Source organism: Homo sapiens, chromosome 16 (assembly GCF_000001405.40).
Source record: "Homo sapiens chromosome 16, GRCh38.p14 Primary Assembly".
In the NCBI taxonomy this organism is placed as follows: domain Eukaryota; kingdom Metazoa; phylum Chordata; class Mammalia; order Primates; family Hominidae; genus Homo; species Homo sapiens.
This window is the reverse complement of record NC_000016.10, coordinates 10,378,877-10,405,979: the sequence shown is the minus strand read 5'-3', so window position 1 is coordinate 10,405,979 and position 27,103 is coordinate 10,378,877. Positions and strand designations below refer to the sequence as shown.

The window sequence follows — 27,103 nt, the reverse complement described above, 5'->3', positions numbered from 1 at the left end:
GTAGCTGGGATTACAGGCACGTGCCACCACACCCAGCTAGTTTGTTTTTAGTAGAGATGGGGTTTTACCATGTTGGTCAGGCTGGTTATGAACTCCTGACTTCAAGTGAAAGCTTCTGTTAGGTTTTGAAGGAAAGTCAAGGGTTAAGGACAGAGTTGGCAGCTCAACAGCAACACAGGTTTATTGTCAGTACAAACCTACACAGGGGGACCAACTTAGTGCCAGGACCCACTGCCACTTACAGGCTGGGGTAATTGTAGGTCTGGGCAGGAGGGATCTAGGTGGTATGGCTTGCTGCCTGGGAGGACGTTGATGAAGATATTCCTGTGGTCAGGTGGTTTGGCCTTTTTGTCCGGCAGGATGTGATAAGAATGTTCCTTGGGCCTTTGTCCAGCAGGATGTGATAAGAATGTTTCTGTAGTCAGGTGGTTAGGCAGGATGTTTCTCACGGCCCAAGCCCCTGTGGAATGTTTCACTCTGACCAAGGTCTGCAAAATGGTGGGGGGCTTACAAAACAATGCAGCTTGGACTAACAGTTTCCATTCAGCCACCTTGCTCTGCCCCTTCCAGGTGTCTTCACGATAATGAATATTAACTTTTTTTTTTTGAGATGGAGTTTTGCTGTTGTTGCTCAGGCTGGAGTACAATGTGGTATGATCTCGGCTCACTGCAACCTCCGCCTCCTGGGTTCAAGCAATTCTCCTGCCTCAGTCTCCTGAGTAGCTAGATAACTGGCACCTGCCACCAGACTCGGCTAATTTTTTGTATTTTTTTTTTTTAGTAGAGACCGGGTTTCACCATGTTGGCCAGGCTGGTCTTGAACTCCTGACCTCAGGCAATCCATCCATCTCAGCCTCCCAAAGTGCCGAGATTACAGGCATGAGCCACGGCACCCAGCCAAATATTGACCTTTCATTAAGATGTTTAGGATCTGAGGATTTATTATAGGGAGGGTCTACTTACTGGTGATGAATTCCCTCACCATTTGCTTCTATAAGAAAAACTATTTCTCCTTCATTTATGAAGCTTAATCTAGTTGGATATAAAATTCCTGGTTCACTGGTTTTTTTTCTTTCAGCACTTTGACAATCCCATCCCATCCCATTCCATCCCATTCTGACTTGTAAGGTTACTTCTGGTTGGGCCCACTGGTTCATGCCTGTAATACCAGCACCTTGGGAGGCCAAAGTGGGCGGTTTACTTGAGTCCAGGAGTTCGAGGCCAGGAGCCTGGCCAACATGGGGAAATCCTGTCACTACTAAAAATACAAAAAAATTATCTGGGCATGGTGGCACATGCTTGTAGTCCCAGCTGGAGGCAGTGGCATGAGAACTGCTTAAACCTGGAGGTGGAGGTTGCAGTAAGCCATGATCGTGCCACTGCATACTATCCTGGGCAACACAGTGAGATTCTGTCTCAAAAAATAAAAAAAAGGCTGGGCAGAGTGGCTCACGCCTATAATCCCAGCACTTTGGGAGGCCAAGGTGGGTGGATCATTTATAAAGTCAGGAGTTCAAGACCGGCCGGGCCAACATGGTGAAACCCAGTATCTACTAAAAATCAGCAGAGTCTGGGGGCACACACCTGTAATCCCAGCTACTCGGGAGGCTGAGGCAGGAGAATCGCTTGAACCTGGGAGGCGGAAGGTGCAGTGAGCAGAGATCGCACCACTTCAATCCAGCCTGGGTGACAGAGTGAGACTCTGTCTCAAAAAGGAAAAACAAAAGATTATTGTTGACAAGTACACTATTCATCTAATGAAGTTTCTTTTATAGGTGATTAGACACTTTTCTCTTGCTGATTTTAAAATTCTTTCCTTCACCTTGACTTGAGACAGTTTGATGACTATATAGCTAGCATTAAATCCATGTTGCAACATATTTTCCTAGGAATCATTAGGCTTCCTGTATCTAAGATGTCTGAATCTTTTGCTAGACTAGGGAGGTTTTCATTAATTATTTCCTGAAAAAGGTTCCCTAAATATTTGCTTTTTCTTTCCCTTTGGAAATACTGTTAATTCATTAGTTCTGCGGCTTTATGTAGTCTCGTATGTTTCAAAGGCCTTCTTCAGTCTTATATATTATTTTTGTCTCACTAGGTTAATTTAAAAGATTATTTCTTCTGCCTTGGCTGATCTATACTTGAGGCTTTCAAATGCATTCCAAAATTTCTTCAATGAATTTTTCATTGCCATAAAGTTCTGTTTGGTTTTACGAAAAGATATCTATTTCCTTGGTAAATTTCTCATTCATATCCTAAATTAATTTTCTGACTTCTTTGTATGGGTTTTCAGATTTCCCTTGCATTTCATTAAGTTTCTTTAAAAACATTTTGAGCTCTTCAGCATTTCAATTATCATTTTTGGTTAGAATCTGTTGCTAAGGAATTCCTATGTTCCTTTGAGGGGGTGTTATAATACCTTACTTTTTCATGCTTCCTGTAACTTTATGCTTATTTCTGCACATCCAGAGACACATCTGCTTCTTGCTATTATTAAATTTATTTTCACTAGGACAGGAGTTTTTTTTCTTGAGGTTGTGACTTTGCTTCTGGATGAGTTCAGTGGTGAAAACTCTATTATTTCCTTGGTTCTAAAAAGCCTTAGTGTGGTGGTTTTCTCAAATGCCAGTCGTAGTAGTAGTGTGCCAGGTAGGTGAGCAGGTTCACAACCTCTTGAGTAGCCAGCATGGTATGGACAATTCTGGTAACATGAAGTCATGAGAACTCACCTCACACTCCTGAGCCTGGTGCATATGTGTCACATATTGTAATAAGCTATGTGGGCTGACCTCCAGGCCAATAGGTGGCACTTACAGTTAAGAGCCAGCTGCAGTGTTAGCAGGATTTATATCTGACATCCATTAACATGGAAAATCACTAATCTCCACAGAAACATCACTAGACAGATGGAAACAGAAAAATCAAATATTGGACTGAAATTGAACTTTAAACCAAATGAACATAACATTCATTCATAGAACAGAGTATACATTTTTCTCATTAGCACATGGAACATTCTCCAAGTCAGACCATTAGACCACAAAACAAGACTCAACATTTTTTTTTTTTTTTGAGAAAGGGTCTCGCTGTGTCGTTGAGGCTGGTCTTGAACTCCTCACCTCAAGCAAACCTGCTGCCTCAGCCTCCCAAAATGCTGGGACTACAGAGGGAGCCACTGTACCTGGCTGTGAACAAATTTTTAAAAAACCAAAATCAGGCCAGACATAGTCACGCATGCCTGTAATCCCAACACTTTGGGAGGCTGAGGTGGGAGGATCACTTGAGCTCAGGAGTTTGAAACCAGTCTGGCAACATGGTGAAACCCTGTTTCTACAAAAAAGTATAAAAATTAGCCAAGCATGGTGGCACATGCTTGTAGTCCCAGCTAGTTGGGAGGCTGAGGTGGAAGAATCGCTTGAGCCCAGGAGGTTAAGGCTGCAGTAAGTAAAAAATCATGCCAATGCACTCCAGCCTGGGTGACAGAGTAAGACCTTGTCTCAAAACGAAACAAACCAAAGGAAAAATCAAAATCATATCAAGTATCTTCTCAGACCACAGCAGAATAAAACTAGAAATCAATGCAAAGAGAATCTTCAGAACTATAAAAATATATGGAAATTCAACATGCTTCTGAACTATCACTGAGTCATTGTAAAAATGAATATGGGTATTAAGAACATTTGAGACAAATGAAAATAGAAAAACGACATACTAAAACTTCTGGGATATAGCAAAGGCAGTGCTTAGAGAGAAGTTTATGGCATTCAACGTCTCCATCAAAAAAACAGTTCAAAAATTAAAAATCTTACATTGTACCTCAAGAGACTAGAAAAATAATCAAGCCAAAAATTAGCAGAAGAAATAAAGGTCACAGCAGAACTAAATGAAATAGAGACCAAAAAGAAGTATCAATAAAACAAAAAGTTGGTTCTTTGAAAATTTAAACAAAATTGGAAAACTACTACCTACACCAACCAAGAAGAGGTAAGGTCCAAATAAACAAAATCAGAAATTAAGAAGGACACCTTACAGCTGATACCACAGAAATACAAAACAACAACAGAGACTATTATGAACAACTATATACTGACAAACAGGAAACCCTATGGGAAATGGATAAATTACTGGAAACATACAACCTCCTAAGCCTTAACCAAGAAGAAACAGAAATCCTGAATAGATGAATAATTAGTGAGACTGAATCAATTAAAAAAAAAAAAAAGACTCCCAACAACAAAAAAGCCCATAACCAGATGGATTCACAGCTGAATTCTACCATACAAAGCTGAACTAATACCAATCCTCTTGAAACTATTCAAAAAAAAGAGGGAAAAAAAAGGAGGGAATTCTTCCTAACACATTCTATGAAGATAGTATCACTTTGATATCAAAACCAAGCAAGGACACAGCAAAAAAAGAAACTACAGACCAATATCCCTGATAAACATAAATGAAATAATCCTAAACAACATACTAGCAAACTGAATCTAACAGCACATAAAAAAGATAACAGGCCAAGCACAGTGGCTCACGCCTGTAATCCCAGCACTGTGGGAGGCCGAGGTGGGCGGATCACAAGGTCAGGAGTTCGAGACCAGCCTGGCCAACATGGTGAAACCCTGTCTTTACTAAAAATACAAAAAAATGAGCCAGGCATGGTGGTACGCACCTGTAATCCCAGGTACTCGGGATGCTGGGGCAGGAGAATCGCTTGAACCTGGGAGGTGGAGGTTGCAGTGAGCCGAGATCACACCACTGCACTGCAGCTTGGGCAACAAGAACAAAACTCCATCTCAAAAATAAATAAATAAATAAAAATAAACCATAATCAAGCGGGTTTTATACCAAGGATGCAAGGATGGTTCTACACACGCAAATCAATAAATGTGATTTATCACAGCTAAGAACAAAAACCATATGATCTCAATATATGCACAAAAAGCATTTCATAAAATTTAGCATTATGGTAAATTTAGCATTAAGGCCAGGGTGGCTCATACCTATATTCCCAGCACTTTGGGAGGCTGAGGCAGGTGGATCACCTGAGGCGGGTGGATCACCTGAGGTTAAGAGTTCGAGACCAGCCTGGCCACAACATGGCGAAACCCTGTCTCTACTGAAAATACAAAATTTAGTTGGGCATGGTGGCGGGCACCTGTAATCTCAGCTACTCAGGAGGCTGAGGCATAAGAATCACTTGAACCCAAGAGATGGAGGTTGCAATGAGCCAAGATCGTGCCACTGCACTCCAACCTGGCAACAGAGCAAGACTCTGTCTCAAAAAAACACACACACGCACAAAAAGGAAGGAACATAGCTAAAAATAATAAAGGCCATAAGGCCATATACAACAAACCCACAGCCAAAATCATACTAAATCAAGAAAGGTTGAAAGAATCCCCTCTAAGAACTTGAACAAAACAAAGATGCCCACTTTCACCACTTCTATTCAACATACTACTATATATCCTGGAGGCCACAGCAATCAAGCAAGAGAGAGAAAGAAAAGGGAAATAGGATATCAGTGTATCTGTTTGCTGATGATATATGATCTTATGTATAGAAAATCCTGAAGACTCTTCCAAAAAACTCTTAATTTAATAAACAAACTAAGTTTCAGGATGCAAAAATCAACACACGGCTGGGCACGGTGGCTAATGCCTGTAATCCCAACACTTTGGGAGGCCAAGGCAGGTAAATTACCTGAGGTCAGGAGTTCAAGACCAGCCTGACCAACATGGTGAAACCCCATCTCTACTAAAAATACAAAAATTAGCCAGGCGTGGTGGCAGGCGCCTGTAATCCCAGCTACTTGGGAGGCTGAGGCAGGAGAATGGCTTGAGCCCGGGCGATGGAAGTTGCAGTGGGCCGAGATTGTGCCGCTGTACTCCAGCCTGGCTGACAGAGTAAGACTCTCTCTCAAAATAAATAAATAAATAAAATAATCAACAAATTAAAATGTGTAGCATTTCTATACACCAATAACAATCAAACTGAGAGCCAAATCAGAAGGCAATCCCATTTACCATAGCTACAAAACGTAAAATAAAATACTCAGGAATATTTTTAACCAAGGAGGTCAAAGACCTCCTATACAAGAAAAACTATAAAACACTGACAAAAGAAATTGTAGCTGACACAAATGGAAAAATATCCCATGCTCACTGATCAGGAGAATTAATATTGTTAAAATGGCCATACTGCCCAAAGCAATCTACAAATTCAATGCATTCACTATCAAAATACCAATGTCATTCTTCACTGAATTACAAAAAAGTCTTGAAAATCACATGGAACCAAAAGAGAGCCCAAATAGCCAAAGCAATCCTAAGCTAAAACAATAAAGCTGAAGATATTGCATTACCTGACTTCTAACAATATTATAACACAAAGCTGATGGTAATCAAAACAGCATAGTAATGTATAGAAATAGACATACAGATCAACTGAACAGAGAACCCGGAAATAAAGCCACGTATCTACAGCCAAGTGATCTTTGACAAAGTTGACAAGAATATATGCTGCAGAAAGGACACATACTTTTCAATAAATGGTGCTGGGAAAACTGGATTAACATATGTATAAGAATGAAACTGAATCCCTATCTGTTACCATACTTAAAAATAAACTCTCATTAAATTTACACAGAAAAGAAAAATCATAAATTTCTCCCAAGCCAGCTGCAATTTTCATAAGGATTGTGTTGAATTTGTAGATCAGTTTAGTATTACTATTTTTTCATTTAAGATTATAGTTATTATTTATGAATTTCAACAATACCGTTGTACAATTTTCCAAGTATACAGCATATTGTTACTGACTAGTCAGATTTTGCACAATAGAACAATAGATCTTTTTTTTTCTTTTAGTCTGAATTTCCTTCTTGTTGCCCAGGCTGGAGTGCAATGGCACAATCTCGGCTCACTGCAAACTCCGCCTCACGGGTTCAAGCGATTCTCCTGCCTCAGCCTCCTGAATAGCTGGGATTACAGGCATGCACCACCACGCCCAGCTAATTTTGCATTTTTAGTAGAGATGGGGTTTCTCCAGGTTGGTCAGGCTGGTCTTGAACTCCTGACCTCAGGTGATCTGCCTGCCTCGGCCTCCCAAAGTGGTGGGATTACAGGAGTGAGCCACCACATCTGGCCAGATCTCTTGAACATATTTCACTAAATGAAATTCTATATCCTTTGACCAGTATCTATTCAACCCCACCCCCCAGCTGTAAAATCACCTTTCTACTCCTTCCTTAAATGAGTCTTAGATTCCAAAAATGAGTGACATCATATAGTATTTGTCTGTGTCTAGATTATTTCACTTAACACAATGTTCAGGTTTATTCATGTTCTTGCAAATGACAGGCAAAATGGTATTCCATCATATACATATACCACATTTTCTTTGTTCATTCCTTGATAAACAGGTTGATTCTGTTATCTACTGTGAATAATGCTGCAATAAACATGTGAGTGCAAGTATCTCTTCAATATAATGATTTAATATCCTTTAGATATATATCCAATAAGATTCCTGGATCATAGGCATATTTTTAATTTTTTTGAACTTCTAAAAAATAATGGCTATACTAATTCATGTTTCCATGAACTGTGTGCAAGAGTTCCCTTTTCTCTACATCTTTGCCAACATTTGTTATTTATTATTATTTTTTTTTTTTTGAGATGGAGTCTTGCTCTGTTGCCCAGACTAGAGTGCAGTGGCGCAATCTTGGCTCACTACAACCTCTGCCTCCCGGGTTCAAGCAATTCTCCTGCCTCAGCCTCCCGAGTTGCTGGGATTACAGGTGTCCACCACTGCACCCAGCTAATTTTTGTATTTTTAGTAGAGATGGGGTTTCGCCATCTTGGCCAGGCTGGTCTCAAAACTCCTGACCTCATGATCCACCCGCCTCAGCCTCCCAAAGTGCTGGGATTACAAGCTTGAGCCACCATGCCCAGTCTTATCTTTCATTTTTGATAAGTCATCCTAACAGGTGTGAGATGTGATATTTCATAGTGGTTTTAACTGACATTTCCATGAATATTAGTGATGTGCACTTTAGCCATTTGTATGTCTTCTTTTGAAAAACATCTCTTCAGGTCCTTTGCCTTTTTTTTTTTTTTTTGAAATGAGGTCTCACTCTTGTCACCCAGGTTGCAGGGCAGTGGCACGATTTCAGTTCACTACAACTTCCACCTCTCAGGCTCATGCAATCTTCTCACCTCAGCCTCCTGAGTAGCTGAAACCACTGGCGTGCACCTAATTTCCTGCAGAGACAGGGTTTTGCCATGTTGCCCAGGCTGGTCTCAAACTCCTAAGCTCAAACGATTCACCCGCTTTGGCCTCCCAAAGTCCTGGGATTGTAGGCATGAGCCACCACGCCCAGCCCATTTTCTTTTGAGGCACGGTCTCTCTGTGGCCCAGGCTGGAATGCCACTGCAAGATCACAGCTCACTGTAACCTCAAACTCTTGAATTCATTTTTTAATTGGCTTATTTTCTTGTTATTTGAGTTCCTTATATATTTTGGAAGAATTAATACTGCTAAAATGACTATACTACCCAGAACACTTTATAGAGACAATGCAATCCCTATAACAATTCCAATGACGCTTTTCATAGAAATCAAAAATACAATCCTAAAATGGATAATGTATGTGGTACCACAGAAGAGTCCAAAAAGCCAAATCAATCTTAAGCAAAAAGAATAAAGCTGGAGGGATCATACTAGACAATTTCAAAATATACCACAAAGCTACAGTAAACAAAACAGTACAGTATTGGGATAAAAACAGACACATAACCAATGGAACAGAATAGAGAACTCAGAAATAAAATCCACAGATTTATATTAAATTGATTTTCAACCAAATGGCAAAACATACAATTTGGAAAGAATAGTTGCTTTGATAAATGGTGCTGGGTAAACAGAATATCTACATGCAGAAGAAACTAGGCAGTATCTCACACCATATACAAAAATCAACTTTAAATGCATTACTACAAAGTTAAATGTAGGCTGGGCGTGGTAGCTCATGCCTGTAATCCCAACACTTTGGGAGGTCAAAGCAGGAGGACTGCTTGAGCCCAGGAGTTTGAGACCACCCTGGGCAATACAAGGAAATCTTGTCACTACAAAAATCTTAAAAAAAAAATTTTTTTTTTAATTAGTCAGGCATGGTGTCACGTGCCTCTTGTCCCAGCTACTGGGACAAGCTGAAGCAGGAGCATCACCTGAGCCCAGGAGGTGGAGGCTGCAGTGAGCCAAGATCAAGCACTCCATCCTGTGAGACAGTGAGACACTGTCTCAATTAAAACAAACAAACAAACAACAAAAACAGGCTGAGGTACAACAATTGTTTCAATCTAGGAGGCAGACGCTGCAGTGAGCAAAGATCATGCCACTGCACTCCAGCCTGGGCCACAGAGCAAGATTCCATCTCGAAAAAAAGAAAACAAACTTATATGTAAGACCCAAAACTGTAAAACTACTGGAAACACAGGGAAAATCTCCATGACGTTGGTCTGCACGATGACCTTTTTTAGATATGACCCCGACAGCATAGGGAACGAAGGCAAAAATAGACCACTAAAATTATATATGAAACTTAAAAACTTCTGTACAGGAAGAGAACAATCAACAGAATGAAGAGCCAATGTATGAAATGGGAGAAAATATTTGCAAACCATACATCTGATCAGGGGTTAATAACCAAAATATATGAGTCCTCTGGCTAGATGAACATGGGATTATCTATTTACTTATTTAATTTCTCTCAACATTCTGCAGTTTTCAGAGTATATGTTTTGTACTACTTTTTGATGCTATTATATATGCTTTCCTCAATCTCAGTTTTGGATTCCTCTTTGCAAGTATATGGAAATAAAACAGATTTATGTACACTGATCTTCCATCCTTCAACTTTGTTGAACTGGCTTTTATCTTTAATGGTTTGTGAATCTCTTAGAATTTTCTACATATTAAATCATGTTATCCGTGTATATTTTACTTCTCCCTTTCCAATTTCGATGCTTTTATTATTTGAAAAAAAAAAATGGGCTTCATTTTCCTGACTAGATCCTCCAGTACAATGTTGAATAGAAATGCCAGGAGGGGTCCATCTTGTTCCTGAATTAGCAGGAAAACCTCCAATCCTCCACTATGATGTTAACCGTGGGTTTTTTTACAGATGCTTTTTAACAAGTTAAGGAAGTTCCAAACTTTCCCTATTGTTTAATGTTTTTATCATGAAGGGACACTGGATCTTATCAATGCTTTTCACTATCTCTTAAAAAGATCATGTAGCTTTGTTCTCTTTGATATGGCACTTAACATTAAAGATTCTTGCATGAGAAATTTATTTTGCATTCCTGAAATAAATCTCACTTGGTCATGGTGTATAATCCTTTTATGTTAATTTCAAATTACTAGTATTTGGTTGAGGATTTTCACATCTCTATACATTAAAAAAACATCGTTCTGCAGTTTTCTTTTCCTATAGTATTGGGGTCTGCTTTTGGTATCCAAATAATACTAGCCTTACAGAATTATTTCAGAAATGTTCTGTCCTCTTCTATTTCTTGAAAGAATTGAAGAACTGTACCTTTAAATGTTTGGTAGAATTTACTAATAAAACCATCTGATTTGGGGCTTTTCATTTTGTCCTAATTCCACTGCTTTGTTTATGTTTGTTCAGATTTTCCTCTTCTTCAGTCAGTTCTGGCAGTTTTGTGTCTTTTTAGGAATTTGTCTGTTTCATCTATTAAATGGAGTACCATACAATTGGAATTATTCTATAGTATTCCCTTATAATTTTTTTTTTTAACTACTGGAAGGTCAGAAGTAATGTCCCCTCATTCATTCCTGATTTTAGTAATTTGAGTCTTCTCTCCCTTTTTTGTGCTCAGTTTAGCTGAATGTTTAATTTTCTTGATCGTTTAAGAAAATGATTTATGGTTTCCTTTTCTATTTTTGTCTATTCTATTAATTTCCACACTAATTTTTTCCTACATTCTGCTGACTTCAGGCTCAGTTTGTTCTTCTAGTTCCAGTTTTTCTTAAAAGGTCTAGGTTACTGATTTGAGGTCTTTTTTAATATAGCATTTATCACTATAAATTTTCTAAGAATTGCTGTAATTGTACCCTCCAAAACCTTTGATATGTTTGTCTTCATTTTCATTCACCTCAAAGTATTTTCTAATTAACCTCATGATTTCTTTGACCCATTATTTAGGAGTGTTAATTTCAACATATTTGTAAATTTCTCAAGTTTCTTTTTAGTACTGATTTCTGATTTTATTCACTGGTCAGATAATGTTCTTTCCCATAATTTCAGTCCTTTTAAGTGTGTTGGTTTGCTTCATGGCCTAGTGTGACTATATTGATGGATGTTCTACATACACTCCAAAAGTCTATTCTGCTGTTGTTGGGTGGACTGTTCAAAGATATCTCTTAAGTCTAGTTGGTTTAGTGTTGCTCAAGTCGTCTCTTGTCTCACTGATTTCCTCAGTTTTCTATCCATTATGACAGTGTTGTATTGAATTCTCCAATTATTACTGAACTGTGCATTTCTTCCTTCAATTCTGTCAATAGTTGCTTCATACATTTTGCTGCTCTCTTAGTAGGTGCATATATGTTTATGATTTGTATGCCTGAGGCACCAACTCTTCTGTCATTATAGAATGTCCCTATGTATCTCCAGCAATACTGTTTCAGTATATTTTGTCTGAAATCAGTATAGGCACGATAGCTTTACTATGGTTGCTATTTGCATGTTGTATCTTCATCTATCCTTTTACTTTCAGCCTATTTGCATCTTTGAATCCAAAGTCTGTCTCCTGTAAACAGCCTATAGGCCAAGGCTGTTTTTCCCTTCAGTATGAAAATCTCTGCCATTTCATGGGATTGTTTAATCCTTTCACACCTGACATTACTTGGTTGTTTTTGTTTGTTTAGAGATAGGTCTCTCTATCATGCACAGTGCTGAGATCAGAGCTCACTGCAGCCTTGAACTCCTGGGCTCAAGTGATCTTCCCACATCAGCCTACCAAGCAGCTGGGACTACACGTATGTGCCATCACACTCAGCTAATTTTAAAATTTTTTTGTAGAGACAAGGTCTTACTATGGTGCCCAAGCTCATCTCAAACTCCTGGCCTCAAATGATCCTCGGCCTACCAAGGTGCTAGGATTCCAGACATGAGCCACTGTACCTGGCCTTCATATTACTATTGACATACAGATGCTGTGTGACTTGCAGTAGTATTACATCCCAAAAAACCTATCAGAAATTGAAAATATCCTAGGTCAAAGATGCAGTTAATACAGGTACAACTAACCTACCGAGCATCATAGCAAAACCTAAGCCTACCTTAAACATGTTCAGAACACTCATATTAGCCTACAATTGAGCAAAATAATTTAACCCAAAGTTGATTTTATACTGAAGTCTTGAATTTCTCATGGCTTTATATTCTACCGAATGCCTATCACTTTCTGTAGCATCATAAACTAAAAATCATGTCAAATCACAATTCAGGGTCCACCTGTAGCTTGATTTATGTCTGCCTTTCACTTTTTGGCTTATGTCTCATGCCTTTTGTTCTATTCCTTTACTGCCATAGGATTTTTCCAATGGTGTCTTTTTTTTTTTTTTTTTTTTTTTTTTTGAGACAGAGTCTCACTCTGTCACCCAGCCTGGAGTGCACTGGCATTGAGGCAATCTCAGCTCACTGCAACCTCCGCCTCCCAGGTTCAAGCAATTCTCCTGCCTCAGCCTCCCAAGTAGCTGGGATTACAGGTGCCCACCACCATGCCCAGCTAATGCTTGTATTTTTAGTAGAGAGGGGGTTTCACCATGTTGGCCAGGCTGGTCTCAAACTTCTGACCTCAAGTGATCCGTCCACCTTAGCCTCCCAAAGTGCTGGAATTACAGGTGTGAGCCATCGCACCTGGCCTAATGGTTTCATTTTTAAAACTTCATTTTTCTTTTCTTTTGGAGACATGGATTCACGTTGTTGCTCAGGCTAAAGTACAGTGGGCATGAACACAGCTTACTGCAGCCTCAACCTCCGGGACTCAAACAAGACTCTAACCTGACCCTTCAAGTAGCAGGGACATCAGGGGCGCCCATCACACCCAGCTAATTTTTTTTTTTTTTTAAAGACAGAGTCTCACTATGTTGCCCAGGCTGGTCTTCAACTCTTGGGCTCAAGAAATCCTCCTGCATTGGCCTCCCAAAGTGCTGACATTAGACAATTTATGGGCCTGTGCCTGGCCTATAAATGGCTAACATTATGTTTATAATTTTTATATCAATGTTAATGAGAGATGGGTCTATTTTATTGGGTGTTGATATCAAAGGTTTGCTGACCTCATACAAACTACAAAGTCTTTCTAGTCTCTGAACAATTTCTGTGTGAATGGTGTTATTTTTCCTTAAATATTAGAATAATTAACCACTAATGCCATTTGGGCCTGGGGTTAACTTAGTGGTAAAGGTTTTCCATTAAAATTGAGGTAGAACCAGCTGGGAGCAGTGGCTCACACCTGTAATCCTAGCACTCTGGGAGGCCAAGGCTCAAACAGCCCAGGAGTTCAAAACCATCTTGGAGATGTCATCTCCAGTTTAAAAAAAAAAAAAAAAGGCCAGGCGCAGTGGCTCATGACTATAATCCCGGCACTTTAGGAGGCCAAGGCATGTGGATCACCTGAGGTCAGTAGTTCAAGACCAGCCTGACCAACATGGCGAAACCCCATTTCTACTAAGTACAAAAATTAGCTGGGCATGGTGGCGGGTGCTACTTGGGAGGCTGAGGCAAGAGAATCACTTGAACCTGGGGGGTGGGGGTTGCAGTGAGCTGAGATCTTGCCCGTTCACTCCAGCCTGGGGAAAAGAGTGAAAATCCGTCAAAAAAAAAAAAAAAAAGATAATACAACCATTCATACTTTTTATATCTTTTGGTGTCAATTTTACCTATTTTTCCATTTCAACACAATTTAAAATTTGTCAACACAAAGTTCTTATAGTATTCTCTAATTGTATGTGTAATACCTGTAGTGCTGTCCCTCCTTTTCTTTTTTTTTTTTTAAACAGAATCTCACTCTGTCACCCAGGCTGAAAGGCAGTGGCACGATCTCAGCTCACTGCAACCTCCACCTCCCGGGTTTAAGCAATTCTCCTGCTTCAGCCCTCCAGCAGCTGGGACTACAGGCGTGCACCACCATGCCCAGCTAATTTTTGTATTTTAGTAGAGATAGTGTTTCACCATGTTGGCTAGGCTGGACTTGAACTCCTGACCTCAGGTAATCCACCTGACCTGGCCTCCTAAAGTGCTGGGATTACAGGCATGAGCCACTGCACCCGGCCTCATTCTTGATATTAGTGATGTGCTTTTCTCTTTTTCTTGATCATTTTTATTAAACATGTACCAAGATTGTCAAAGTCAACAAAAATACAAAAAAGACAAAAAGAGGCTGTCAAAGTACTTTAAGTTTGCTAGCTTCCTATTATACAGTGTTCCATTTCATAATTTCCTGCCATATTCCTTTTCTTTTTTTATTTGACACAGAGTTTCACTCTTGTTGCCCAGGCTGGAGTGCAATGCAAGATCTCCGCTCACCGCAACCTCTGCCTCCTGGGTTCAAGTGATTCTCCCATCTCAGCCTCCTGAGTAGCTGGGAGCCACAGCGCCTGGTCTTTTTAAAATTTTTATTGCCCAGGCTGGTCTTGAACTTCTGGGCTCCAGCAATCCACCCACCTCAGCCTCCCAAAGTACTGGGATTACAGGTGTGAGCCCCCACGCCCAGCACATTTTTTTTTTTTTTTGAGACAGGGTCTCTCTCTGTGGCCCAGGCTGGAATGCAATGGCGCGATCATAGCTCACTGTAACCTTGAACTCTTGGGCTCAGCAATTCTCCCATCTCATTCTCCAGAGTAGCTAGGACTACTGGCGCATGCTACTGCACCCAGCTAATTGTTTTTCATAGCGATGGGGTCTCATTATGCTGCCCAGGCTGGCTTCAAATTCCTAGGCTTAAGTAATCCTCCAGTCTTGGCCTCCTAAACCATTGGGATTACAAATGTGAGCTACAATGCCCTACCCTCCTTCTGCTTTCTTTGCGTTTGCTTTGCTGTTCTTGTTGCAGCTTCAGGTAAAAACTCAGATATTTTTTCAGTCTCTCTTTTTCCTTTTCATTTTTAGAGTCACACTTTGTCACCCAGCTGGAGTGCAGTGGCATGAACACAGCTCACTGCAACCTCAAAATCCTAGGCTCAAGTAATCCTACTGCCTCAGCCTCCCAAGGAGGTAGGACTACAAGTGTGTCCCTCCATGGCTGGCTAATTTTACAAAACATTGTTTTGTAGAGACAGGGTCCTGTGTAATGTTACCCAGGTGGGTCTCAAACTCCTGACCTCAAGTTATCCTCTACCTTGGCCTCACAAAGTGGTGGGATTACAGGCATGAGTCAGCATGCCCAGCCTATTACCTTTTTTTCTAATTTCTCACTTAAAGCTGTAAATTTTCCTCTAAGCCCTACTTTAGTTGAGCCCACAAGTTTTGAAAAACTCTACCTTATAATTTGATATTTATCCAATATTCTCTAAGATGCATTGTAATTTTTTAACCTGTAGATTATTCACAAGCATGTTACTTTCCAAGCAATAACATATTTCCTGTATCTTTGTGGTTAAAAGTTAGCTTAATCTTTTTTCCTGTTATAGTTCGAAGTTATGGGTGCATGCTGATTTAGTTGGGTTTTTTCCTGCTTCATTGGGTTTCTCCATTATAAAACATCTCTGTTCTCCAGTGATGTTCTCCAAGGTAGTATCTTAATACATAATAAACACTTTAATAAGAACAATTCTCATTAAATTAAAAAAAACTACTGAACTGAATTTTTACTGTTACTCTTTTTAAAAAGTAAAAATTTAGAAAAAACCCATTTAACTAATCTTGTTCAAAGTCAGGTACTTCAGCCAATATTTGAACGGAGGGTCTTAAGACTCGAAGAAGTCTATCACAAACACAAAACAGTTATTATGAAGCGACAGGGCCCTTTAAGAGTTATATAGTGGTTAACAAAATAACAAAACTCAGGCCAGGTGGCAGTTAATCTCATAATGACCATGAAGTAATGCCAAGTGTGGTTCATAGACCAGCAGCATCCGCATCACCTGAATGCTAATAGAATTCTGACATTACTTTTTTCAAGTTTTATCAATGTAATAGTATAAAATGCTCATTATGAAATAAAGCAGTTGCTTGCCAGCACTCCCGAATATCTAATGGCAATCACTTTAATTTTAACAACTTGTTTTTAAAATCTCAGTATTTTAAAATATTTTCATACTGTTTCTTGAGTTACAAATTTTAGCCATGTCGATTTCCTGTAATTGCAGATGAAGATTTAGCTCACATATGTATTTTTTTTGGAGGTGGGTTGGAAACATTTTAATTGGATGGTAGGGGATGGTAACACTGGACGGGGAGCACTCACAGTTCCAAGAGTTTCCCTCCAAATTATAAAGACGTTCTTGTAATTAGCTAGATTTCCTATAGCCAGGTCTTATGCCCAAGGGAAGGAGGGGAGGATGTGAAAAGCACTGTGGTCTGCCCTCCTGTCATTCGTAGATCCAGTTCTGTAGTTCACACGTCTCTTACAGCTCATCGTATTTTCAGTTAAATCAATATTTAAGTTGTTATAAATATTCTCTATATAGCCAGATAGACTACCATGACTACACTATCTTTCTTTCACAGTAGTTTGTCTTTTCCTGGAGATATCAACTGAACCTTCTTATAAACCTAACCTTCACTTTCCAAATTGACCAGAACTGTCATATTATCAACCTTCCCTCCTAGTCTATGCTCTTTCAAGATCAAGCTTAAAGATCACCTCCTCAAAAAAACAGCCCCGAGAGAACTACTACTTCTTTATCTAAATTTCCCACTATAATTTTTTTTTTTTTTTGAGACAGTCTTGCTCTGTCGCCCAGGATGGAATGCAGTGGTGCGATCTCGGCTCACTGCAAGCTCCGCCTCCCGGCTTCACGCCATTCTCCTGCCTCAGCTTCCCGAGAAGCTGGGACTACAGGCGCCGGCCACCACGCCCGGCTAATTTTTTTGTATTTTTTAGTGGAGACGGGGTTTCACCATGTTAACCAAGATGGTCTCAATCTCCTGACCTCGTGATCCACCTGCCTCAGCCTCCCAAAGTGCTGGGATTACAGGTGTGAGCCACCGCGCCCGGCCTACAAATATTTTTTATATCTTCAGTGACATGCCTTTCTTACAGTAGTTTTAATGCTGTTTAATGAATATTCACTTAAAAAACAAACCTCTGGAAAGCCACCCAGAGTTATTCTCTCCTTAATAACAAGTACTGAAAAGCCTCCCAAAGTCACTGTCTCCTTAGTAAAGAGTACTAAAAAGGCCTTGGCAACTTTTGCCATGGCTATCTGATAAGCTATTTCACATCAGCATACTGTACACACTAGAGCCTCAGAGGTATACTAATGAAACTTATGACCACATTTAGTAGACACATATAATGCCTCTAAATAATTCATGGCTAACTTCAGTAACACCTCTCTAAACATTTCATGGCTTAATCAGAAGTTCAAAAAAATCCAATATATTATCTCCCTTTCCTCCAAAAAGTCATGGTTATTTCTCTCTAGACACTGGCTGACTCCAATCTGTCCCATCGTTGGTAAAAATGAAGATGAAAAACTATCCTAGTCTACTGTAAAGCAGAATAATTATCTAAATGATATAAAAATATGAGATAGGCCGGGCGCTAAGACTAGCGCCTGTCATCCTAGCACTTTGGGAGGCAGAGGCGGGCTGATCACCTGAGGTCAGGAATTCGAGACCAGCCTGGCCAACACGGTGAAACCCCATCTCTACTAAAAATACAAAAACTAGTCGGGCGCCTATAATCCCAGCTACTTGCAAGGCTGAGGCAGGAGAATCACTTGAACCCGGAGGGAGGAGGTTGCAGTGAGCCGAGATCGCGCCACTTCACTCCAGCCTGAGCCAAAGAGCGAATCTCTGCCTCACAAAGAAAAATAAATAAGTAAAATAAAATAAAATAAACGAGATAGATAAGTCACCGCAGTGTGTGTGTGTCCGGGTGGCGGGGGGAGGGGGGGGGAGTAAAATAGACTGACATAGAATGAGAGAATAAGATTTTTTGGTATTTTGTATCATCTCGCTCAACAATGAGAACTAATACTCTTGCGCATTTAAAGTTGTATTTTATTTTTAACTATCCAATATATTAAACTTTGATTACATCAAATGAAATAGATTGTGCACACTCACTATAAGAGAGCTATGATATATGCAGAAGCAAAGGTGCAGGGATCATGCAATAGTTTCGTACCAGATTTCAAGATACCAAGTAGCAAGGAAACACAATGGAATTGAAGGCTGAGGTGAAGTACAGGCATAAGGCAAGGAAAGCAGAACATTCAAGATGTACCTATATACACCAGTTCTTAAAACACGCAAATCATTTCCAATAAGGCACTGGCTCATGTATTTCTGTTGAGGCAGAAGTCAATCTTAGGATGTGGTCTGTACATATCTGCAGATAAGACTGAGAGTGAAGTAAATTTGATTAAGATCGGAGTCAACACTTCTACAAACGTATTGCAGAATAAACGAGCTAAGAAGAAAGGCATACTTCACAAAAGCTGAATTCAGTGTTATTAGTCCTTCATTCAGATGCTTCATTTTTGCATTTTCAATTGCTTTCCTGTGATATAACTTATCTTTATCTTGGTCTTCCCCATTTGTTTTGCAAATAGTTATGTCGCAGGTCATTTACTGGCTACAATAAATATGACAAAATCATAATAAAAACAGTATTAAGTCGCAATCTAGAATAACAATTTAAGTGAATATGACATAATTTTTCTAATGTGGACTATTCAGTACAACTGTCCTCTTCTTCCATACATATTAACCATATGCAAGTCTTCAGAACAGAAAAAGCCATTGTGTCGTAAAGGAAGGAACACGTGGTTAGAAACTTCATTTTCAACACAGAAACACGGAAAGGTAGAAAGTCCGTTTCCTTAAGTGCGGTAAGGTTTTAACAAAAATAAGGCAAAAAAAATTATTGCGTCCTCTCTTTCTCAAACTTGCTTGCCAAACTTGGAGAAAACTGGTTAGAGAAGGGCGATAAGATGGAATTTTCTTAAAAACATATTCATAAAAACGAACTTCTACCTTAAGGAAATCGTCTTCCTTAAATCCTACCATCCTTACACCGGCAAGCTCAGAGGTACGGGATTTCAGCATTTTACTCAGAATTTTGTATTTTTCCTGATGCTCTGGTCCCTACTTTTTAACAAACTTCAAGGCCGCCAGGCGAGATCCAGTTGCCTTCTGGCACCTGACTTCATTAGATGATTAAAACAACTCAAGAAAATTTGGCAATGGGACACTAAAATTGGTGGAGGTGGAGATTTATCCGTTAATTTCTGAAAGCATTCCGGACAAGAGCGAGCTTTTACTTACCCCTCAGGACAAAAAACACGCACCACTTCCCTCCGCAGTCCCTAACCCCAGTGCCGCCCGGACCTGAGGCCGCACACCACTCCCGCTTCACCAGTATCCCTCTGCGAAAACGGTGGAGACGCGCCCGTCCGCCCCTCAGGGGCCTCTTCCCGGACCTGTCAGACGGCCCCGCGGACGCTTTTCAGTCAGGGCAGCTTCGCCGCAAACGTCCGGTAGGCCCGGCGCTCCGAGGCCTCCGGGGCCGGCCCTCAGAGAGGCGACCGACGCTCCTAGAGCCGCCACCCCGCCAATCGCCGCTCTCGCAGGACACTCGCCCGGCCCCAACGTACCTAGAGCGACGACGCACCAGCCGCAGCAATACCCACAGCCACTTCGAACCGCAGCCGTTAACAATGCTGGTCCGGCCAGGACCTGCTGAAGTAGGTCTCCCTACGCCCACCCCCAGCTGATTATGGACCAATGGCAGCGCGAATATGCGGCAGCCCAGCCAGTCAGGCACAGCCAGCTAGAGTGGGCGGGGCGAAGGGTCGCGAGGGGAAATGGAAGTAGGCTGAGGGGCGCCTGGGGTTCGCCTCCGTGGGCGCTTCTTCCGGTCAGCCACCGGGGCTTACCCGCCATAGCGCAGATGCAGGCTCCTGAGCTGGGCCTTTCTTTTGAGTGACTCGTGTGAAGATTTAGACTTTCGAAACTTATTAGGAATAAGACCTTATTTACAAAAACAACTCCTCACCCGGTCGGTAGTTTCCGATTTGAATTTTCTAATATTGTTTGAAAATATTTATCTTATTTACTTTTTTGGACGACTCCTTAAATTTTGTGACTCAGGAGATTGGTCCTAGCACCGTAGTCTTTTTTTTTTTTTTTTTTTTTTGAGACGGAGTTTCGCTCTTGTCGCCCAGGCTGGAGTTCAGTGGCGTGATCTCAGCTCACTGTACCCCCATTTCCCACCTCCCAGGTTCAAGCGATTCTCCTGCCTTAGCCTCCCGAGTAGCTGGGACCACAGGTGTGCACCACCATGCCCGGCTAATTTTTGTACTTTTAATAGACATGGGGTTTCACTATGTTGGCCAGGCTGGTCTTGAACTCCTGGACCTCAGGTGATCCGCCACCTCTGCCTCCCCATATGTTGGGATTACAGGCATGAGCCACTGCACCCACCCGCACCATAGCCTTGAGTTTGCTAAATTGTCCCAGGAACCTGCCAGCCTTGGCTGCTTGTGATTTCATGAGGCCCGATGCCTTAGGTGGCTGTGCACTTGGATGCCATGAACTCACTCAACAGGTGGTCACTGAATGCCCACTGTGTAGAAAATACAGGAAATACAACAGTAGATTAGATCCATAATGCCCTCTTTTTCATTAATTAATTTATTTATTTATTTGACAGAGTTTTGCTCTTGTTGCCTAGGCTGGAGTGCAATGGCGCGATCTCGGCTCACCACAACCTCCGCCTCCCGGGTTCAAGCGCTTCTCCTACCTCTGCCCCCAACAAGTAGCTGGGATTATAGGCATGCGCCACAGTGCCTGGCTAAGTTTTTTTTTTATTTTTAGTAGAGACGGGGTTTCTCAATGTTGATCAGGCTGGTCATGAACTCCCGACCTCAGGTAATCCACCTGCTTCGGCCTCCCAAAGTGCTGGGATTACAGGCGTGAGCCACCACGCTTGTCATGAGGCTAGAGCTGCCTGCCTTGTCACTTCCAGTTAGGAGAAAAATGAGGCAAGTCCGGACAATCTAGGTTGGGTCATCAATGGAATAACATACTCCAACCAGCCAGTTCCCCAAATATGCTCCAGGGATCTAGGGGTAATCTTTAATGTCAATCCTATTTTTATAATTATACTATTTTTATAATAATATAAAGATGATTTTGCTTTTTTCATTCTCTGAGTCAGGAGAGTACATGGAATTTTCTAGAAGCCTCTGGAAAATCGACGGGTGATATTGCTACAGATTGAATACAGAAGCAGACATGAGAATCTAACTACCAACCTGGGCAACAAAGTGAGATACCCACTTTTCTAGAAAAGTAAAAATAAAAAGTTAGCTGCATCCTTCCACCTACACGGGAGGCTGAGAGGACGGGAGGATCGCTTAAGCTTAGGAGTTAGGGACTGCAGTGAGCTGTGATAGTGTCACTGCACTCCACCCTGGGTGATAGAGCAAGAGACTGTCTTAGAAAAGAGAGAGAGAGAGGCCAAGCGCAGTGGCTCACATCTGTAATCCCAGCACTTTGGGAGGCTGAGGCAGCCGGATCATGAGGTCAATAGTTCGAGACCAGCCTGGCCAACATAGTGAAACCCCATCTCTACTAAAAATACAAAAATTAGCCGGGCATGGTGGCGCGTGCCTGTAATCCCAGCTACTCGGGAGGCTGAAGCAGGAGAATCGACTGAACCCGAGAGGTGGAGTTTGTGGTAAGCCAAGATCGCACTACTGCACCCCAGCATGGGCAACAGAGTGAGACTCCGTCTCAAAAACCAAAAAAAAAAAAAAAAGAGAGAGAGAGTCTTACTGTATTAAGTCAGACGTTAAGGAAATTAGCAAAAATGTAAAACAATCCTAATCTTTGCACATTTTTTGTTGTTCTAGAACATGATTTTGAAAATAATTATAGGGTTGCTAAGAGAGATAGTGTGGGAGGGAGTGGGAGGTAGTAAGTTGCAGTCAGATAAGGAATTTGGACTTAATTCAGTTAACAGTGAGTAACTAGCCTTTAGAAATGTTATGTCTATTTAAGGTACTAGGATATCTTGTATGTCATTTTAACAATAGTAATATAATAGGCCAGGTGGACACCTGTAATCCTAGCATTTTAGGATGCCAAGACCGACAGATAGCTTGAGCCCAGGAGTTTGAGACCAGCCTGGGCAATATAGCGAGACCCCATCTCTATAAAAAAATTATAATAATTGATATTTACTGGACATTATGTTAATAAAGTTTATTGTTGGCTGGGTGCGGTGGCTCATGCCTGTAATCCCAGCACTTTGGGAGGCCAAGGTGGGCAGATCACTTGAGATCAAGACCATCCTGGCCAACATGGTGAAACCCTGTCTCTACTAAAAATACAAAAATTAGCTGGGCATGATGGTGCGCACCTGTAGTCCCAGCTACTTGGGAGACTGAGGTAGGAGAATTGCTTGAACCTGAAAGAAGGAGGTTGCAATGAGTCAAGATCACGCCACTGCACTCCAGCCTGGTGACAGAGCGAGACTCCATCTCAATAAATAAATAAATAAATTCATTCACATAATGTGCTATATGAAGTACTATGAAGTCTCTCAATTTGCTGTTTGACTTTTTAAAATAATGCTTAACATAATAACAGATACAGTTGCTTGTACATTTCCTGACTTATAGTAGACACTTGATGTATAGTAACTATTATTATTAAAATTAATAAAGCTGAGAATATCAATTATCTTGAGTAAATTCTTTACATTTTTGTGTTGGAATGCTTTCTTGTTTGATAGTTTTCTTCCATTGAGGATTGTGGCGGGCAGAATTTGTACTCCCATGATCTTTGTCTCCTAGTGTGCGTCTTATGGTTATAAGTCACCTTACATGGCAAAAGGGACTTTGCAAATATGATTAAGGTTGTAATCAGCTGACCTTAAGATGGAGAACTTAACCGGGATTTCCCTGGTGAGTACAGTGTAATCACGTGAATCCCTAAAGGCAAAAGACAAGTCACACAGATGCAGCAGAAAGGAAAGTCATAGATTTTCAAAGCACAGGCAGAACTCAGCCCATGGTTCCTGGCTTGAAGATGAGGGGGACCACATGTAAACCTTGAGAATGAAAGTAGTACTGCCAACGACCTGAATGAACCCAGAAGCAGATTCTTCTGCAGAGCCTTAGCTGGCTGACAGCCTATTGAGACCCTAAGCAGAGTTCCCAGCTGAGTCCACTGTGCTTCTGACTTCTATATAGAACTGTGAGATAAGTGGGTAGTGTTTTAAGCCATTATGTTTGTGGTAACTTTTTATGGCAACAATAGAAAACAAATGCAAGCATTCATTCCACACACTTCTCAGCACTCCCTAAGGCAAGGCGGAAACCCTATGAACTACATTTCCCAGGAGCCCTTGCCTCCTGTATTCTGGATTCAGTTGTGTTTTACCCAGTGTAATGCACTTCCTGAAATTTGAAAAGTGGCAGAGATACATGTTATTGTGGGTTTTTTCCTTAGGCTTTGGCTCTCTTTCGCACCAGTCCCTGTCTCAGTTATTTAAAGGCAGCTGTGACAACAGTGGTTTTCTGAACTTTTCTGCCCTTTGGGCAGCAGAAGCAGCACCCTTCTTATTCTCTGGACCACAGAGGCAGCAGCACAAATGAAAACCAATGTGAGGCTGGGCGTGGTGGCTCACGCTTGTAATTCCAGCACTTTGGGAGGCCGAGGCAGGCGGATCACCTGAGGTCAGGAGTTCAAGGCCAGCCTGACCAACATGATGAAACCCTGTCTCTACTAAAAATACAAAAATTAGCTAAGCGTGGTGGCGGGCACCTGTAATCCCAGCTACTAAGGAGGCTGAGGTAGGATAATTGCTTGAACCCAGAAGCAGAGGTTGCGGTGAGCCGAGATCGCACCATTGCACTCCAGCCTAGGTGACAAGAGTGAAACTCTGTCTAAAAAAAAAAAAAAAGAAAGAAAACCAATGTGACAGTAGCTCCTCCAGCCCTTACAAACTTATGAGCATCTAATTCTCTGTACTAAATACCATTATGTTTGAAATATCTGGAGTGGTTTCATTTTTCCATGACTGAACCCTAATTAATAGACTTCTCCATGCCTGAGTTTCCTGACATATAGAATGAAATTACTAACAATATGTAACACATAGTAAAAATGTAACCATTTAGAATTATTACATGAATTAAATTACATTGACCCAATTCATGTAAAGTGCTCAATAGAGTACTTAACCAATAGTAAGTGTTCAATAAACGTGTGTTAGTATTTTATTTCCTAAGGGGCTATTAGTGTGATACCATATTGGCACTACAAAATGCCAGTTTATTCTACCTTTTCTCTAACCTATCATGAACATTCCTAGCTTGAAAACAAACATACACCAGCCTTAGCAACATAGAGAGACCCTGTCTCTACAGTTTTTTTGTTTTTTTTGTTTTGTTTTGTTTTTTGGTTAGCCAGGTGTTGTGGTGTGTGTCTATATTTCTAGCTACTCAGGAGGCTGAAGTGGGAGGATTACTTCAGCCCAGGAGTTCCAGGCTGCACTCCAGCCTGGGTGACAGAGCAAGACCAAAAAAAAAGAAGATGAAAGTAAAAGAAAAGGGGCCAGGTGCGGTGGCTCACGCCTGTAATCCCAGTGCTTTAGGAGGCCAAGGCAGGCGGATCACGAGGTCAGGAGTTCGAGACCAGCCTGGCCAACATGGTGAAACCTTGTCTCCACTAAAAATACAAAAAATTATCTGGTTGAGGTGGCAGGCACCTGTAATCCCAGATGCTTGGGAGGCTGAGGCCCGAGAATTACTTGAACCTGGGAGGCAGAGGATGAAGTGAGCTGAGACCGTGCCACTGCACTCCAGCCTGGGCAACAAAGCGAGCCTCTGTCTCAAAAAAAGAGAAAAAGAAAAAGAAAAGAAAAGAAAACACACATGCATTGTGAGGACTAAACTCTGATTTTTAAAAATGTTGGCCAAATTCCTATTTAAGGGACCTGGGGAGTCACGCCCTACAAACCATAAATTCTCATCAGTTGGGTATAAAACCCATGTATCATGACTTACTTTCCAACCTGACAAGAAAGTCAAAATATTTTACCCCAAAATATGTTTCTTTGACGTATTTTGAAATGATCCTGCAAAGCTGTCCTTTGTGGAGCAAAATGTGCATCTGTAAAGAATCTCTATTAACACAGCTAGATATTTTTCTTCCAGGCCCTCCCAATCCTGAAGAGATTAAGTAAAAGTCTAGCACCCTTTAAAGGTATGAATAGGAAACATGTGTCATCTGTTGTCTCTAAGGGCAGCCACTATAAGACTTCAAAAGAACCTTGGTCTCCACAGTCTTTTATCTTCATCTGAACACTTCTTGATCCCAGGTCTTTTTTTTTTTTTTTGGTGGAGTTTCACTCTTGTTGCACAGCCCAGGGTGGAGTGCAGTGGCACGATCTCGGCTCACTGCAACCTCCACCTCCTGGGTTCAAGTGATTCTCCTGCCTCAGCCTCCAGAGTAGCTGAGATTACAGGTGTGCACCACCATGCCCGGCTAATTTTTTTGTATTTTTAGTAGAGACGGGGTTTCACCATGTTGGCCAGGCTGGTCTCGAACTCCTGACCACAGATGAACCACCTGCCTCAGCCTCCAAAAGTGCTGGAATTACAGGCGTGAGCCACTGCACCCAGCCTGATCCCAGGTCTTTAGACAAACTCAACCAATCATCAATCAGAATGTTTAAATTTTCCTATAGCCTGGAAGCCCCCATCACCCCTGCCTTTCCGGACCAAACCAATGTTTTTCTTCAACGTGTTTGATTGATGTCTTATACCTCCCTAAAATGTATAAAACCAAGTTGCACCCCTACCACTTTGGGCACATGTTCTCAGGACCTCCTGAGGGCTGTGTCATGGGCCATGGTCGCTCATATTTGGATCAGAATAAATCTCTTCACATATTTTACAGATGGTGACTCTTTTCATAGACAATTGCCACCTCTTTATCTATTGGAGGGCTTTAGCAGCCACAAAATAACATAAGAAGTCAGAATTATATGTAGTTTTCAGACTGTCAAGTATAAAAAAAAAACTCTGAGGTTAGACTATTATGTATTGGTCTTTATTGGATTTTTTATTTTATTTTATTTTATTTTTGAGAAGGAGTTTTGCTCTTGTTGCCCAGGCTGGAATGCAATGGCGCGATCTCGGTTCACCTCGACCTCCGCCTCCCAGGTTCAAGCGAGTCTCCTGCCTCAGCCTCCTGAGTAGCTGGGACTACAGGCGAGTGCCACTATGCCTTGCTAATCTTTTGTATTTTTAGTAGAGACGGGGTTTCACCGTGTTAGCCAGGATGATCTCCATCTTCTCACCTCGTGATCCACCTGCCTTGGCCTCCCAAAGTGATGGATTATAGGCATGAGCCACCATGCCTGGCCAGATTGATTCTCTTTCAAAAGCCATATGAGGCCAGGCACGGTGGCTCACGCCTGTAATCCCAGCACTTTGGAAGGCCAAGGCAGGCAGATCACCTGAGGTCAGGAGCTCGAGATCAGCCTGGCCAAGATGGTGAAACCCTGTCTATACTAAAAATACACAAATTAGCTGGGTATGGTGGTGGGAGCCTGTAATCCCAGCTACTTGGGAGGCTGAGGCATGAGAATCGCTTGAACCCAGAAGACAGAGGTTGCAGTGAGCCGAGATCGCGCCAGTGCACTCCAGCCTGTGCAGCAGAGCGAGACTCCATCTCAAAAAAAAAAAAAAAAAAAAAAAGTCTGGAAATACAGCCATCACAGTAGGCAAAAACACTTTTATGGTGACTATGGAATAGTAACCCTTGTCTACCTTACAATTCTCATTTCTAGGCTCTTGATCTACAGCCTCTCTAGAAGACACT

At 41.4% G+C, this 27,103-nt stretch overlaps 1 protein-coding gene across 7 annotated transcripts in view, besides 3 other annotated features; it reads right to left on the bottom strand.

The window, feature by feature from the left end:
- Positions 1-19,919, bottom strand: part of ATF7IP2 (activating transcription factor 7 interacting protein 2) — a 97,578-nt gene extending 77,659 nt beyond the window's left edge. For all 7 annotated transcript variants that reach the window (NR_147927.2, NR_045815.3, NR_045816.3 and 4 more), the window contains exon 1: positions 19,858-19,919. The gene's annotated coding sequence lies outside the window, so the exon portion shown is untranslated. The remainder of the gene's footprint in view (positions 1-19,857) is intronic.
- Positions 20,041-20,180: a silencer, noted in NCBI's record as "silent region_7192". NCBI's record gives its function as "represses an Ori minimal core promoter by ATAC-STARR-seq in GM12878 lymphoblastoid cells {active_cell/tissue: GM12878}" and the evidence as "EXISTENCE:reporter gene assay evidence [ECO:0000049][PMID:35858748]".
- Positions 23,226-23,295: a silencer, noted in NCBI's record as "silent region_7191". NCBI's record gives its function as "represses an Ori minimal core promoter by ATAC-STARR-seq in GM12878 lymphoblastoid cells {active_cell/tissue: GM12878}" and the evidence as "EXISTENCE:reporter gene assay evidence [ECO:0000049][PMID:35858748]".
- Positions 23,496-23,565: an enhancer, noted in NCBI's record as "active region_10379". NCBI's record gives its function as "activates an Ori minimal core promoter by ATAC-STARR-seq in GM12878 lymphoblastoid cells {active_cell/tissue: GM12878}" and the evidence as "EXISTENCE:reporter gene assay evidence [ECO:0000049][PMID:35858748]".